A 16,061-nucleotide genomic window follows, 5' to 3' on the forward strand; every position below is an offset into this window, starting at 1 on the left:
TCCCAAGGAACACGAACCAATACTCTGCATCTGGAGGAGGGGAGGTCAGGTTTAATGTCCCAGTCCTCGGGCGCTGTCCAGCGCCTGCCAGGCCCCACGGCCGTGTCGCTCACTCGGGTGGCGGCCGACCCGCCTCATCAGGGCCTTCCGCGGAGGCCGTCCCGTCGTCCTCGGGCACCAGCTCCACGTCCAGCTCCAGCTGCCCCATGTAGAGGCCCACGGCGCACGCCCAGAGCAGGCTGGCGGCCAGCACGGCGCCCGCGCCCACGGCCGCGCCCCCCAGCGTCAGCTGCATGGGTCCTCGCAGCGCCGCCAGGCCCACGGCGTACGAGGCGCTGCCCCACACCACGCACAGGCCGCCCAGCAGGAAGAAGCCTGCGGGAGAGGCAGGGTAGCAACAGGGCCAAGGTCGGGGGATGGTCTGGGAGCAAAGCCAGGGTTGAGGAGACAGGAACAGAGGCAGGGCCGTGCCAGGGGCTAGCCTGCATCTTTGAGAATCAGATCGGAGGGGAGGGGACCATAACCATGTCCTGGGCCACCCATTCAGATGGACCTAGTGCCTATGGGAGGGGTGTCTTCTGGTGGGGGAAGAATGGGGGTTCTATACTTACTACTGGGAGTGGGATGGGGTAGGAGAGTCTACTCTCACCAGGGCAGGTGATAGGGGCTCTGCATTCCCTGGTTCCGTGGGGCGAGAGGGGGGGTCTGCACTCACCATATGCTGCTTCCCGACCCATGTCACTCTGCATGAAGGAGATGACCCCGATGCCCGATGCCAGGAGGCCATTGCGGAACCAGGAGAGGAAGGCTGGAGGGAGGGGGACATGGGGGGATTAACATCACCCCCAACCCTACCTCCTCAATCCCCCTTACCCAGTCAAACTGAGGGGCCTCCCTTCAGCTCACCCCATCCCATCCAGCCGCAAGGCAAGCCCATCCCAAATCCTCACCTCTTCCAGGAAGCCGCTCACCTAACCATATCCCCCCACATCCTCTCTGGCCTCCACCTCAGTGCCCCTCTCCCCCAAACTCTGTAACACTAAGGATTCAAGGGCCGGGTGTGGTGGCTCACCCCTGTAATCCCAGCACTTTGGGAGGCCAAGGCAGGCGGATCATGAGGTCAGGAGTTTGAGACCAGCCTGGCCAACATAGTCAAACCCTGTCTCTACTAAAAATGTTAAAATTAGCAGGGTGTGGTAGCACGTGCTTGTAGTCCCAGCTACTCAGGAAGCTGAGGGAGGAGAATCACTTGAATCCAGGAGGTAGAGGTTGCAGCGAGCCAAGATCATGCCACTGCACTCCAGCCTGGGCGACAGAGTGAGACTCCGTCTCAAAAAAAATAAAGGATTCAAGATAGTCCCTGCAGAATGTGGAGGACAATCTAGGGGCAAAGTTGCAGAACCTCCATCTGAGGAGTCATCTTGGCCAAACCCCTCCCTCTACGTGTACCCCCACGGCCTGCCCACTCACTTCTTTCTCAGAACTCTGGGACAAACTGTTTCCTAATCCAGGCCGCTCTTCAGCCTCGCCCTTCTTTTCCTTCAAATGCCGCCATCTCCTACCGAGTATGGCCTGGGCCAATCCCATCCATGTCCTACCGAGTATGGCCTGGGCCAATCCCACCCACGTCCGTCCCCATTCACGTCCTTTACAAACAGCCCACCACACCCTATATCTAGATGCCCGGTCCTGGCCTAGTGAGGTGACTCACACCTATAATCCCAGCACTTTGGGAAGCCAAGGCAGGAGGATTCTCTGAGCCCAAGAGTTCAGACCAGCCTGGGCAACAAAGCAAGACCCCGTCTCTACATAAATTAAAATAGTTGGGTGCGGTGGTGTATGCCTGTAGCTCCAGCTAAGCAGGAGGCTGAGGCAAGAGGATAGCTTGAGCCCAGGAGTTCAAGGCTGCAGTGGGCTACGATTGCGCCACTGCGGTCCAGCCTCGGTGACAGAGCAAGACACCGTCATTAAAAAAATAAAATTAAAAAAAAAACAAACATGGCCAGTCCGCTCCATTCTGGACCTCGCCTCCGTCACAAGCCCCGCCCTCTGCAGCCTAGATCACCTCCCCCTCCAATCAGCAGAGAGCTTTCTCCCGATTGGTTGTCCCCTTCTCCAATCCTGAACTTCCCCCTCTTCTGCGGGGATCCACACTCCCGCTCTCTGCACAGTGGTGGCCTCTGCAATCGGGATGGACCCATCTTGTACCCAACTCCACAGACCCTAAGCTCTCCCTGAAGCCCCTCTCCCCACGGCAGGCGCGATTCTACGAGGCTGCCTCGCGCAACCCTACCACCCCCTCCAATCCCTACGGCGCCCCGTTACCCGGGGTCCTCGTCCTCCCCGCAAGCCCATCCCCTCTGCGGGCACCTGCGCTCTTGCAGTCTGCGCTTCCGTGCGCTCACACTGAAGCCCTTCTCGGAGCCGAGCCCGGGCCCCGTTTCCTGCAGAAGCCCCCGCCCCATCAAGGTCCCACGCGAGCCCGGGACCCCCGTCCCATCCGCACCGCCCCCACCCCTAGCCACCGACCTGTCTCGTGCGCTTTTCGGAGGAGCCAGGCGTCCGCACGATCCAGCTCGGACACTGGGGGCGGCGAAGCCCCGGCGCGGGGACCGTGGCCGGGGGCGAAGGACCCCCGGGCGCCCCCGCTCCGGGGCCGCTGAGGCGGCAGTAGCGACCTCCGGAAGCGAAGACGGGCAAGGCGAGCGGCCCGAGCCCACCACCAGCCGCCTCCCATGATTCGCACTACGGCCGCCGCGCGCCGTACCGCCCCACCGGCCTCCGGTAGGTTGCAACCCATGTCACTCAGGATGAATGGCTTACCCATTGGCTATGCGCTCGCCACTCAGGTCCGGCGTGAACTGTCCATTGGTCGGAATGGCAGTGATTCCCTCCTCTGTCATCTAGGCCGGTAGTGCCCGTCCCTCCTTGATTTTGTACCGGACTACGAATCCCAGCGATCATTGCGCTCGGGGAAAGCCGATATTCAGAAGTCGCAGGCGAGATGTCTGCTGGGAATTGTAGTTTTAATTCTATCTTTTTTAACGGAGTACATGCCGAGCACCTATTGTAGTTGTTTCTTGGTTGTTTCTCTTTCTTTCTTTCTCTTTCTTTCTTTCTTTCTTTTTCTTTCTTTCTCTTTCTTTCTTTCCTTCTTTCTTTCTTTCTCTCTTTCTTTTTCCCTCCCTCCCTCCCTTCCCTCCCCTCCTTCCTTCCTTCCCTCCTTCCTTTTTTTTCCCCGCCCCGAGACCGAGTCTTGCTCTGTCGCCCAGGCTGGAGTGCAGTGGTGCGATCTCGGCTCACTGCAACCTCCACCTCCCGGGTTCAAGCGATTCTCCTGCGTCAGCCTCCTGAGTAGCTGGGATTATAGGCATGCGCCACCACGCCCAGCTAATTTTTGTATCTTTAGTAGAGACAGGGTTTCACCATGTTGGCCAGGCTGGTCTCGAACTCCTGACCTCAAGTGATCCAACCGCCTCGGCCTCCAAAAGTGCTGGGATTACAGGCGTGAGCCACCGTGCCCGGCCAGGTCTGTCTCTTTAAGACAGATTTGTTTTCTTTGCCCTAACCCATTCCGGGATTCAGCTTTGCCTTCTCTCATCAGCATAAACCTTTTCACTAGCCAGGAATGTGAAAAATGTGTCTGGAATATTTTCAATTTGCACTTAATCCCATTTAAAGCTTCACATTCATTGCAAGCCTGCAGGCTATGCAGTGCAGTCCATTTGAACTCCCTCCTCAAGTGTAACCCCCTTGCTAGCTCCCCTACTTTTCCTCTTCATAAAATCCAAGCCCGGGCCAGGCACGGTGGCTCACATCTGTAATCCCACCACTTTGGGAGTCTGAGGCGGGCAGATCACGAGATCAGGAGTTCGAGACCAGCCTGACCAACATGGTGAAACCCCATCTCTACTAAAAATACAAAAATTAGGCATGGTGGCAGGCACCTGTAATCCCAGCTACTTGTGAGGCTGAGGCAGGAGAATCGTTTCATGCGCGTCCATGTGAAGAGACCACCAAACAGGCTTTGTGTGAGCAAGATGGCTGTTTATTTCACCTGGCTGCAGGCAGGCTGAGTCCGAAAAGAGAGTCAGCAAAGGGTGGTGGATTATCATTAGTTCTTAGAGGTTTTGGGATAGGCGGTGAAGTTAAGAGCAATGTTTTGCGGGCAGGGGTGGATCTCACACAGTACATTCTCAAGGGTGGGGAGAATTACAAAGAACCTTCTTAAGGGTGGGGGAGATTACAAAGTACATTGATCAGTTAGGTGGGGCAGGAACAAATCACAATGGTGGAATGTCATCAGTTAAGGCTATTTTTACTTCTTTTGTGGATCTTCAGTTACTTCAGGCCATCTGGATGTATACGTGCAAGTCACAGGTGATGCGATGGCTTGGCTTGGGCTCAGAGGCCTGACATTTCTGCCTTCTTTTATTAATAAGAAAAATAAAACAAAATAGTGTTGAAGTCTTGGGGGGTGGTATGGAGAGAGAATGGGCGATGTTTCTCGGGGCTGCTTCAAGCAGGATTAGGGGCGGCGTGCGAACCTAAAGTGGGAGAGATTAAGCTGAAGGAAGATTTTGTGGTAAGGGGTGATATTGTGGGGTTGTTAGAAGAAACATTTGTTGTGTAGAAGTATTGGTGATGGCCTGGGTACAGTTTTGTATGAATTGAAAAACTAAATGGAATAAGAGAAGGAGAAAAACAGGTATAAAAGGTCTAAGAATTGGGAGGACCTAGGACATCTGATTAGAGAGTGCCTAAGGAGATTCAGCATAGTCCTGCCAGCAAAGATTATTTGTTTACTTCAGGAGTTAAGAGTGGCAGTTTGGGGATAGCATGAGGAGATATCAGCTGTGATGGCTTGGAGAAACAGTGTAAACCAGCAGTGTAAACAAGAGCAGGGCACGTATGAGTAGTTGAGAACGGAGAATAGGAGTATGACTAGACAGAAAATAGTAGGGATGACAAGTTTTTTTGGGGCACAGTCTAAGTTGGTCCGGTGTCTGGAATGAGACTGGGGCCTAATAAAAAGGATTGTCCATACAGGAGCTCAAATAGGCTGTACCCTGCAGCATTCTGAGAAGCAAAAGAGGTAAAAGTATTGTCCAGTCCTTTTTAAGTTGGTGGCTGAGCTTGGTGAGGTGTGTTTTTAAAAGACCTTTAGTCCGTTCTACTTTTCTTGAAGACAGAGGACCGTAAGGGATATAAAGGTTTCACTGAATACTAAGAGCCTGAAAAACTGCTTGGCTGATTTGACTAATAAAGGCTGGTCTGTTATCAGACTGTATAGAGGTGGGAAGGCTAAACTGAGGAATTATGTCTGACAGAAGGGAAGAAATGACTGCGGTGGCCTTCTCAGACCTTGTAGAAAAGGCCTGTACCTATCCAGTGAAAGTGTCTGCCTAGACTAAGAGGTATTTTGGTTTCCTGACTCGGGGCATGTTGAGTAAAGCTAATTTGCCAGTCCTGGGTGGGGGCAAATCCCTGAGCTTGATGTGTAGGGAAGGGAGGGGGCCTGAATAATCCCTGAGGAGTAGTAGAACAGCAGATGGAACACTGAGAAGTGATTTCCTTGAGGACAGATTTCCACGATGGAAAGGAAATGAGAGGTTCTAAGAGGCGGGCTCATGGCTTGTACTATAGCATAGCCTGCCTTTGCTGGTGTGTGGCGATTAGGCCTGGTGGAACTGCCATCAATAAATCAAGCGTGATCAGAGTGAGGAACAGGAAAGAAGGAAATATGGGGAAATGGGGTGAATATCAGGTGGATCAGAGAGATACAGTCATGGGGGTCAGGTGTGGTATCAGGAATAATGTGGGAGGCCAGATTGAAGTCCGGGCCAGGAACAATGGTAATTGTGGGACTTAAGAGTGAGTGCAGCTGAAGGAGCCGGGGAGCAGAAAGTACATGCGTCAGGTATGAGGAAGAAAATAGATTTTGGAAGTTATGAGAAATGTAGAGAGTGAGTTGAGCATAGTTTGTGATTTTTAGGGCTCTAAAAGTATTAAAGCAGCGGCAGCCGCTGCATGCAGACATGAGGGCTAGGCTAAAACAGTAAGGTCAAGTTGTTTGGACAGAAAGGCTACAGGGTGCGGTCCTGGCTCTTGTGTAAGAATTCTGACCACACTAACCATGCCTAGGAAGGAAAGGAGTTGTTTTGTAAGGGATTGAGGTTTGGGAGATTAATTGGACACGATCAGCAGGGAGAGCACGTGTGTTTTTATGAAGAATTATGCTGAGATAGGTAACAGATGAGGATGAAATTTGGGCTTGACTGAAGTAATGGGGGCTGTCTGTGAAGCCTTGCGGCAGTACAGCCCAGGTAATTTGCTGAGCCTAATGGGTGTCAGGGTCAGTCCAAGTGAAAGCGAAGAGAGGCTGGGATGACGGGTGCAAAGGAATAGTAAAGAAAGCATGTTTGAGATCCAGAACAGAATAATGGGTTGTGGAGGGAGGTATTGAGGATAGGAGAGTATATGGGTTTGGCACCATGGGGTGGATAGGCAAAACAATTTGGTTGATAAGGCACAGATCCTGAACTAACTTGTAAGGCTTGTCTGGTTTTAGGACAGGTAAAATGGGGGAATTGTAAGGAGAGTTTATAGGCTTAAAAGGCCTTACCCATTGAGCAGGGTAAGGGTGATTAGGTTTTAATGAGATGGTAAGGGGTGCATGATCGGTTGCCAAGGAAGGAGTAGAGGTATCTTATACTTGTGGGTTAAGGTGGGGGAATACAAGAGGAGGACGCAAAGGAGGCTTTGGATTGGGAAGAAGGGCAGCAATGAGATGTAGCTGTAATCCAGGAATAGTCAGGGAAGCAGATGATTTAGTTAAAGTGTCTCGGCCTAATAAGGGAACTGGGCAGGTGGAGATAACTAAAAGGAGTGCTTTAAAGAGTATCGTCTAAGTTGGCACCAGAGTTGGGGAGTTTTAAGAGGTTTAGAAGCCTGGCTGTCAATACCCACAACAGTTATGGAAGCAAGGGAAACAGGCCCTTGAAAAGAAGGTAATGTGGAGTGGGTAGCCTCTGTATTGATTAAGGGGACGGACTTATCTTCCACTGTGATAGTTACTCGAAGCTCGGCGTCTGTGATGGTCTACGGGGCTTTCGAGGTGATCGGGCAGCGTCAGTCTTCAGCCGCCAAGCCGAGAAGGAGTCAGTCGGAGAGCCTTGGGCCAGAGTTCCAGGGGCTCTGGGAGTGGCTGCCAGGTGAGTTGAACAGTCCGATTTTCAGTGGGGTCCCACACAGATGGGACGCGGCCTAGGAGGAATCCCAGGCTGCGGGCATTCCTTGGCCCAGTGGCCAAGATTTCCAGCATGTGTAGCAAGTTCCTGGGGGAGGAGGTTCTGGAGGAACGCCTGGCTGCTGCGGTTCGGGCGTTTGGAAGTTCTTGCGTGCTGGAGATGTGGCTGGGGTTTGTCTCACAGTGGAGGCAAGGAATTGCAACTTTTTTTCTGTTATTGTACACCTTGAAGGCGAGGTTAATTAAGTCCTGTTGTGGGGTTTGAGAGCCAGATTCCAATTTTTGGAGTTTTATTTAATGTCAGGAGCAGATTGGGTAATAAAATGTATATTGAGAATAAGACGGCCTTTTGACCTTTTAGGGTCTAGGGCTATAAAGCGTCTCAGGGTTGCTGTCAAACGAGCCATGTACTGGGCTGGATTTTTATATTTGAAGAAAAAGAGCCTAAACGCCATCTGATTTGGGATAAAGAAAAAGGAGCATTAACCTTGACTATGCCTTTAGCTCCAGCCACCTTTTTAAGAATAAATTGCTGCGCAGGTGGGGAAGGGCTAGTCACGGAACGAAACTGTAAACCATACCGGGTGTGAGGAGGGGAGGTGATGAAACGATTATAGGGTGGAGGAGCGGAGGCTGAGGAAGAATTGGGACCTAGCTTGGCCTGGCGAGGAGGGGAGAGGTCAGTTGGGTCTGTAGAAAAGGAAGATTAGAAACACTCAGCAACGCTTGGGGTTGGGACTGAGGGGACAGGTGGGAGGGAAAGAAGGAAGATTTGGGACGAGTTGCATTGGGCACAGAGACTAGGAAGGGACTGTGATGTGTAAAAGAATGCCTGGACGTCAGGCACCTCAGACCATTTGCCTATTTTATGACAAGAATTATTTAGATCTTGCAGGATGGAAAAATTCAAAGTGCCATTTTCTGGCTATTTGGAACTACTATCGAGTTTGTATTGGGGTCAAGCAGCATTGCAGAAGAAAATAAGGCGTTTAGGTTTTAGGTCAGGTGTGAGTTGAAGAGGTTTTAAGTTCTTGAGAAGACAGGCTAAGGGAGAAGGAGGAATGGAGGGTGGAAGTTTGCCCATAGTAAAGGAGGCAAACCCAGAGAAAAGAGAGCGTAGAGACACGGAGGGAAGGGGTTCAGGGTTCTTACCCTCCAGAAAAGCAGGAAGCGGGGTCGGGGCATGGAAATAAGGGATTGGGGCACAGAGATAAGAGGTTGGGGTGCGGAAATAAGGGATTGGGGGTTCTTGACCCCTAGAAAAGCGGGACTTGCCACTAAGGGTGAAGGAGAAGGGGTTGATGGGTACTTGTCCCTTCCCCAGAAAAGCAGAGAAGGGGTAGAGACACAGAGAAGGGGTTGGGGAACTTGCCCCTCCCCCAGAAAAGCGGGACTTGCCACCAAGGATGAAGGACCAAGGCAGGCGTCCCTGCGTGGTCTGACACCTTTGAAACGTGGGTGAATAATCAGAGAGGCGTCCTTGCAATGATTAAACACCAAGGGAAGGCTGCCTTCCCAGTCCGTGACCGGCGCCAGAGTTTTGGGTCCACAGATAAAACGTGTCTCCTTTGTCTCTACCAGAAAACAAAAGGAATAGAAATTAAGAGAAGGGAGAGATTGAAGTGTGGCGCCAAGATTGAAAGGAGAAAGAGGTTGAGAGATAGTGAGGGAGGTTGGAAAAGAGTAAAAAGAGGCCGCTTACCGGATTTGAAATTGGTGAGTTGTTTCTTGGGCTGGTCTGTCTGAGGACCTGAGGTCGTAGGTGGATCTTTCTCACAGAGCAAAGAGCAGGAGGATGGGGGATTGATCTCCCAAGGGAGGTCGGTCCCCCGATCCGAGTCACGGCACCAAATTTCATGCGCGTCCGTGTGAAGAGACCACCAAACAGGCTTTGTGTGAGCAACATGGCTGTTTATTTCACCTGGCTGCAGGCAGGCTGAGTCCGAAAAGAGAGTCAGCAAAGGGTGGTGGATTATCATTAGTTCTGAGAGGTTTTGGGATAGGCGGTGAAGTTAAGAACAATGTTTTGCGGGCAGGGGTGGATCTCACACAGTACATTCTCAAGGGTGGGGAGAATTACAAAGAACCTTCTTAAGGGTGGGGGAGATTACAAAGTACATTGATCAGTTAGGTGGGGCAGGAAGAAATCACAATGGTGGAATGTCATCAGTTAAGGCTATTTTTACTTCTTTTGTGGATCTTCAGTTACTTCAGGCCATCTGGATGTATACCTGCAAGTCTCAGGTGATGCGATGGCTTGGCTTGGGCTCAGAGGCCTGACAATTTGAACCTGGGAGGCTGAGGTTGCAATGAGCTGAGATAGTGCCACTGCACTGCACTCCAGACTGGGCGACAGAGTGAGACTCCATCTTTTTTTTTTTTTTTTTTTTTTTGAGACGGAATTTCGCTCTGTCGCCCAGGCTGGAGTGCAGTGGCACAGTCTCGGCTCACTGCAAGCTCCGCCTCCCGGGTTCACGCCATTCTCCTGCCTCAGCCTCCCGAGTAGCTGGGACTACAGGCACCCGCCACCACACCCAGCTAAATTTTTTTTGTATTTTCACTAGAGATGGGGTTTCACCGTGTTAGCCAGGATGGTCTCGATCTCCTGAGCTCGTGATCCGCCCGCCTCAGCCTCCCAAAGTGCTGGGATTACAGGCGTGAGCCACCATGCCCGGCCGAGACTGCATCTTAAAAAAAAAAAAAATGGCCGGGCGCAGTGGCTCACGCCTATAATCCCAGCACTCTAGGAGGCCTAGGCGGGCAAATCACCAGGTCAGGAGATCGAGACCATCCTGGCTAACATGGTGAAACCCCGTCTCTACTAAAAAATACAAAAAAAATTAGCCGGGCGTGGTGGTGGGCGCCTGTAGTCCCAGCTACTCAGGAGGTTGAGGCAGGAGAATGGCATGAACCCGGGAGGTGGAGCTTGCAGTGAGCCTAGTTCACGCCACTGCACTCCAGCCTGGGTGACAGAGTGAGACTCTGTCTCAAAAAAAGAAAAAAAAAAAAACGGCTGGGAGCAGTGGCTCACGCCTGTAATCCCAGCACTTTGGGAGGCCGAGGTGGGCGGATCACCAGGTCAGGAGATCGAGACCATCCTGGCTAACGCGGTGAAACCCCGTCTCTACTAAAAATACAAAAAATTAGCCGGGCATGGTGGTGGGCGCCTGTAGTCCCAGCTACTCGGGAGGCTGAGGCAGGAGAATGGTGTGAACCCGGGAGGCAGAGCTTGCAGTGAGCCGAGATCGTGCCACTGCACTCCAGCCTGGGCAACAGTGTGAGACTCCGTCTCAAAAAAAAAGAAAAGAAAAAAAACAATCCAAGCCTTACTTAGTGAAAGATAAAGGAGCTGATTTTAAGAGGGGCCTGGCCCAGCAGGCTTTGTAGCCAAGGTCCAAAGGGGCAGTGGAGGGCTCTGGAACATCTTCCTCTCATTGGTGGGTTTAAGCTGGGGAGCAACATTACCAGATGCACATTTAGAGGATCCTCGAGGCTGAGCACAGGGGCTTATGCCTGTAATCCGAGTGCTTTGTGGGGCTGAGGTGGGAGGATGGCTTGAGGCCAGGAATTCAAGACCAGCCTGGGCAACAAAATGAAACCTCATTTCGTTTTTTGTTTGTTTTGAGACAGAATCTTGCTCTGTCGCCCAGACTGGAGTGCAGTGGCACCATCTCACCTCACTGCAACTTCTGCATCCCGGGTCCAAGCAATTCTCCTGCCTCAGCCTACTGAGTAGCTGGGATTTTAGGCATGTGCCAACATGCCAGGCAATTTTTTTTTTTTTTTTTTTTTTTTTTGAGATGGAGTTTTGTTGTTGTTGACCAGGCTGGGGTGCAATGGTGAGATCTCAGCTTGCTACAAACTCTGCCTCCCGGGTTCAAGCGATTCTCCTGCCTCAGCTTCCCTAGTAGCTGGGACTACAGGCACCCGCCATCACACCCAGCTAATTGTTTGTATTTTCAGTAGAGATGGGGTTTCACTATGTTGGCCGTGGCTGGTCTTGAACTCCTGACCTCAAGTGATCCACCAGCCCAGGCCTCCCAAAGTGCTGGGATTATAGGCATGAGCCACCACACATGGCTTTAACATTTTTTTCTGATCAAGAGTTCACAGTTGCCCTTTTCTTGTTTTTTATTTTCATTTTCTGTAGAGACGGGGTCTCCCTGCGTTGCCTGGGATAGTCTCAAACTCCTGGGCTCAAGCGATCCTCCTGCCTCAGCCTCCCAAAGTGCTGGGATTATAGGCATGAGCCACCTTGCCTAGCCTAGCTGCCCCCATCTGACTGCTGCTTTGACTAGAGCAAACTTGAGTCAGGTTTATCTCCTTCCATGGGCCCCTGAACTTCTAGCTCACCCTCAAGTCTGAGCAAGCAATGAAATGTGGAAGGTGCCTCCTGGTTAGCTTATCCTGAGAACTGCCTGACCCCACATAGCCCTGTTTCCTGTTGAATGATGCAGTCGGCTTAGTCCCTGTCATCTGCCCAACCTTCCCAGACTGCAAAGCCCCCTTAACATAGAAAATGAATGGCTTTTTTTGTTTGGTTTTGAGATGCTTGCAGATTTCTGAGACTAGGACATTCTCCCTAATGCAACAAACTTTATGAAGTTTCTCAGTATTTAAGTTTGGATATGTTGTTTTCTTTTCTTTCTTTCTTCTTTTTTGAGACAGAGTTTCACTCTTGTGGCCCAGGCTGGAGTGCAATGGCATGATCTCGGCTCACTGCAATCTCTGCCAACGGAGCATGGTGGCACACACCTGTAATCTGAGCTACTCTAGAGGTTTGCTAATTTGCTAGCAGAATTCACGGAACTGGGCGGAGTGCAGTGCTCATGCCTGTAATCCCGGCACTTTGGGAGGCTGAGGTGGGCAGATCACTTGAGGCCAGGAGTTCAAGACCTGCCATGGCCAACATGCTGAAACCCTGTCTGTACTGAAAATACAAAAATTAGCCAGGTGTGGTGGCACATGCCTGTAGTCCCAGCTACTTGGGGGGCTGAGGCACAAGAATCGCTTCATCTTGGGAAGCGGAGGTTGCAGTGAGCTGAGATTACACCACTGCACTCCAGCCTGGGAAGCAGAAAGAGATTCTTGTCTCAAAAAACAAACAAAAAGGCCAGGCACGGTGGCTCACGCCTGCAAACACAGCACTTTGGGAGGCCAAGGCGGGCAGATCACGAGGTCAGGAAATAGAGACCATCCTGGCTAACACGGTGAAACCCCATCTCTACTAAAAATAAAAAAATTAGCCTGGCATGGTGGCACACGCCTGTAGTCCCAGCTACTTGGGAAGCTGAGGCAGGAGAATTGCTTGAACCCGGGAGGCGGAGGTTGCAGTGAGCCAAGATCACGCCACTGCACTGCAGCCTGGGCAACAGAGAGAGACTCCATCTCAAAAAAAAAAAAAAAGAAGAAGAATTCATTGACAGCTGCCGTGCTCCCGGTTATGGTGTATTACAGTGCAAGAATACAGGTGAAAATCAGCCCAGGGAAGACGGGCATTCGGCAGAGCCTGGGGGCGGGGTCCCATCCTGAGGCTTCCAGCCCTCTTGTCCCCATGGAATGTGGACAGCGCTCACTTTACCCAGCAACAGTGTGTGACGGTACATGTGGAGCTTTGTTGACCAGGGAAGCTCTCGGAAGCCTCACTGTCCAGAACCTTCATTACCCCTGAGACGCGTAAACCCAGTCGTCCTCCGTGAGACTGAGGTGACCTCAGGCGCCAGCCCTTCCAGAGGTCAGCTGATACCCTGTGACCCCAGGGCCCCACCCTGAGTCACATTGTTACTAGCCTAGTTGGCCCAAGGCTGATAGGTAAACCAAGATAATCTTATCAGGAACGACATTCCAGAGATTTAGAGGAGATGACCTCAAAGGCACTGAGGACAAAGGTCTTACCTCTCTTTGGGGAAGGTTAAATTCTTCATTACACTGAACCAAACAATGCAGGCCGACTCCAGAAGCTGAAAAAAGATAAAGAAATGAATTCTCCTCCGAGTCCCCTGAGCAGGAACACAACCCAGCTGACATTTTCGTTTTATTTATGTATTTATTTTATTTTATTTTTTACTTTTTTTTTTTTTTTTGAGACAGAGTCTTGCTCAGTCTCCCAGGCTGGAGTGCAGTGGTTCAATCTCCGCTCACTGCAAACTCCGCCTCCTGGGTTCACGCCATTCTCCTGCCTCAGCCTCCCAAGCAGCTGGGACTACAGGCGCCCGCCACCACGCCCAGCTAATTTTTTTGTAGTTTTTTAGTAGAGACGGGGTTTCACCATGTTAGCCAGGATGGTCGTGATCTCCTGACCTCATGATCCGCCCACCTCGGCCTCCCAAAGTGTTGGGGTTACAGGCCTGAGCCACCGCGCCTGGCCTATTTTTTACTTTTAATTAATTTTTTAAGACAGGGTATCACTCTGTCACCCAGGCTGGAGTGCAGTGGCTTCATCTCGGCTCACTGCAACCTCGGCTTTCAGGGCTCAGCCTCCCCAGTAACTGGGACCACAGGCATGCACCACCACACCTAGCTAATTTTTGTATTTTCTGTAGAGTTGGGGGTCTCACCATATTGCTCAGGCTGGTCTTAAACTCCTGGGTTCAAGCCGTACACCCACCTCGGTCCCGAGAGTGTTGAGATTAGAGGTGTGAGCCACTGCACCCTGCCGTTTTATTTTTTTAATTTGTATTTTTGTGACAGGGTCTTACTCTGTCACCCAAGCTGGAGTGCAGTGGCGCGAGCATGGCTCCCTGCAACCTAGACCTCCCCAGCTCCAGTGACCCTCCCCTCTCAGTCTCTGGAGTAGCTGGGACTACAGGAGTGAACCACCATACCCGGCTAATTTTTTTTTTGTTTGTTTTTCTGACGGAGTCTCGCTTTGTTGCCAGGCTGGGGTGCAGTGGCACGATCTCGGCTCATTTCAATCTCCGCCTCCCAGGTTCAAGTGATTCTCCTGCCTCAGCCTCCTGAGTAGCTGGGACTACAGGCACCCACCACCACACCCAGCTAATTTTTGTAATTTTAGTAGAGACAGGGTTTCACCATATTGGTCAGGATGGTCTCAATCTCTTGACCTTGTGATCCGCCTGCCTCGGCCTCCTAAAGTGCTGGGATTACAGGTGTGAGCCACCATGCTCGGCCCTATTTTTGGATTTTTTAGTAGAGACAGTATCTTGCCATGTTGTGCAGACTGGTCTCGAACTCCTGGGCTCAAGAGCTCCTCCCACCTTGGCCTCCAAAGTGCTGGGATTACAGATGTAAGCCACAACACCTGGCTACATCTTGGTTTTTAGACTTCTGATCTTCAGAACTGTAAGAGAATACATTTGTGGCCGGGTGCGGTGGCTCACACCTGTAATCCCAGCACTTTGGGAGGCTGAGGTGGGCAGATCACCCAAGGTCAGGAGTTAGAGATCAGCCTGGCCAACGTGGTGAAACCCCGTCTCTACTAAAAATGCAAAAATTAGCTGGGCATGGTGGTGGGTGCCTATAATCCCAGTCACTAGGGAGGCTGAGGTAGGGGAATTGCTTGAACTCAGGAGATGGAGGTTGCAGTGAGCTGAGATCATGCCACTGCACTCCAGCCTGGGCGACAGAGCAAGACTCTGTCTCAAAAATAAATAAATAAATAATAAATAAATAAGTAGAATACATTTGTGTTGTTTTAAGCCACTAGGTTTTTGGTCATTTGTTACAGTGGCAACAGAGAATACAGTTATGAAACCCAACAATGGATATAGTTGTGAGGATGTGAGAAGTCTACAGAGGAAAGTAAAAGGAAGAAGGGTGGGGAAGGGAGGGTGAAGAAAAAACAATAAAAGGAAAGAAAAGAAAGTAGATGGAATGATGGTTCAGATGTAATAATTTTATTTATTTTTATTTATTTCTTTGAGACAGAGTCTTACTCTGTAGTCCAGGCTGGAGTGCAGTGGTGTGATCTCAGCTCACTGCAGCCTCCGCCTCCTGGGTTCAAGCAATTCTCCTCCCTCAGCCTCCCAAGTAGCTGAGATTACAGGCGACTGCCACCACACCTGGCTAATTTTTGCATTTTTAGTAGAGACAGGGTTTCACCATATTGGCCAGGCTGGACTTGAACTCCTGACCTTAGGTGATCTGCCTGCCTCAGAGGTTGCAGTGAGCTGAGATCGTGCCACTGCATTCCAGCATGGGCTACAGAGTGAGATTCCATCTCAAAAAAAAAAAAAAAAAAAAAAAAAAAGAGAGAGCAGGGTAACAGGGTTAATTGTTGTCCCCAAAAACATATTTCTACATCCTAAGCCCTGGAACCTGTAAATGAACTAATGAACTGTATTTGGAAACAGGGTCTTTAAAAAATATACATATATAAGCTCTCACTGTTGTCCAGGCCAGAGTGTGGTGGTGTGATCACAGCTCACAGCAGCCTTGACCTCCCAGGCTCAAGGGATCCTCCTGCCTCAGCATCCCAAGTAGCTGGGACTACAGGTGCGCCCACCACACCCAGCTAATTTTTCCTGTATTTTGTAGAGATGGGGTCTTCCTATGTTGCCCAGGCTGGCCTTGAACGCCTGGCATCAAGCAATCCTCCTGCCTTTGCATCCCAAATTGCTGAGATTACAGGCGTGAGCCACCACACTTGGCTGGGAAACAGGATATTTAATGAAAGATCTTAAGATGAGATTACTCTTGATTACTTGGTTGGGTTCTAAATCCAGTGAAGAGTCTTTTTTTTTATTTGAGATGGAGTCTTGCTCTGTTGCCCAGGCTGGAGTGTAGGGGCATGATCTCGGCTCACTGCAAGCTCCGCCTCCCGGCTTCACGCCATTCTCCTGCCTCAGCCTCC

At 51.0% G+C, this 16,061-nt stretch overlaps 1 protein-coding gene across 1 annotated transcript, besides 7 other annotated features; it reads right to left on the minus strand.

Annotated features, from left to right (window-relative positions):
- Positions 1-31: 31 nt before the first annotated feature.
- Positions 32-2,747, minus strand: TMEM160 (transmembrane protein 160). Its single transcript, NM_017854.2, has 3 exons — positions 2,530-2,747; positions 716-808; positions 32-375 (listed from the first exon to the last, which is right to left on the minus strand). The coding sequence occupies exons 1-3, from the start codon at positions 2,735-2,737 to the stop codon at positions 110-112; spliced, it is 567 nt and encodes a 188-aa protein (NP_060324.1). The 5' UTR covers positions 2,738-2,747; the 3' UTR covers positions 32-109.
- Positions 2,175-2,244: an enhancer, noted in NCBI's record as "active region_14852". NCBI's record gives its function as "activates an Ori minimal core promoter by ATAC-STARR-seq in GM12878 lymphoblastoid cells {active_cell/tissue: GM12878}" and the evidence as "EXISTENCE:reporter gene assay evidence [ECO:0000049][PMID:35858748]".
- Positions 2,525-2,714: a silencer, noted in NCBI's record as "silent region_10836". NCBI's record gives its function as "represses an Ori minimal core promoter by ATAC-STARR-seq in GM12878 lymphoblastoid cells {active_cell/tissue: GM12878}" and the evidence as "EXISTENCE:reporter gene assay evidence [ECO:0000049][PMID:35858748]".
- Positions 2,754-3,048: an enhancer, noted in NCBI's record as "tiled region #8906; HepG2 Activating DNase unmatched - State 4:PromP, and K562 Activating DNase unmatched - State 1:Tss". NCBI's record gives its function as "activates a minimal TATA promoter and a strong SV40 promoter by Sharpr-MPRA in HepG2 and K562 cells {active_cell/tissue: HepG2 | K562}" and the evidence as "EXISTENCE:reporter gene assay evidence [ECO:0000049][PMID:27701403]".
- Positions 3,172-3,689: an enhancer, noted in NCBI's record as "H3K27ac hESC enhancer chr19:47552307-47552824 (GRCh37/hg19 assembly coordinates)". NCBI's record gives its function as "activates a minimal SCP1, AML or CMV promoter by ChIP-STARR-seq in naive and primed H9 embryonic stem cells {active_cell/tissue: H9 hESC(naive and primed)}" and the evidence as "EXISTENCE:reporter gene assay evidence [ECO:0000049][PMID:30033119]".
- Positions 3,690-4,207: an enhancer, noted in NCBI's record as "H3K27ac hESC enhancer chr19:47552825-47553342 (GRCh37/hg19 assembly coordinates)". NCBI's record gives its function as "activates a minimal SCP1, AML or CMV promoter by ChIP-STARR-seq in naive and primed H9 embryonic stem cells {active_cell/tissue: H9 hESC(naive and primed)}" and the evidence as "EXISTENCE:reporter gene assay evidence [ECO:0000049][PMID:30033119]".
- Positions 8,616-9,172: an enhancer, noted in NCBI's record as "H3K27ac hESC enhancer chr19:47557751-47558307 (GRCh37/hg19 assembly coordinates)". NCBI's record gives its function as "activates a minimal SCP1, AML or CMV promoter by ChIP-STARR-seq in primed H9 embryonic stem cells {active_cell/tissue: H9 hESC(primed)}" and the evidence as "EXISTENCE:reporter gene assay evidence [ECO:0000049][PMID:30033119]".
- Positions 13,849-14,369: an enhancer, noted in NCBI's record as "H3K27ac hESC enhancer chr19:47562983-47563503 (GRCh37/hg19 assembly coordinates)". NCBI's record gives its function as "activates a minimal SCP1, AML or CMV promoter by ChIP-STARR-seq in primed H9 embryonic stem cells {active_cell/tissue: H9 hESC(primed)}" and the evidence as "EXISTENCE:reporter gene assay evidence [ECO:0000049][PMID:30033119]".

The sequence above is a fragment of the Homo sapiens genome, chromosome 19, assembly GCF_000001405.40.
Source record: "Homo sapiens chromosome 19, GRCh38.p14 Primary Assembly".
Taxonomy (NCBI): Eukaryota; Metazoa; Chordata; class Mammalia; order Primates; family Hominidae; genus Homo; species Homo sapiens.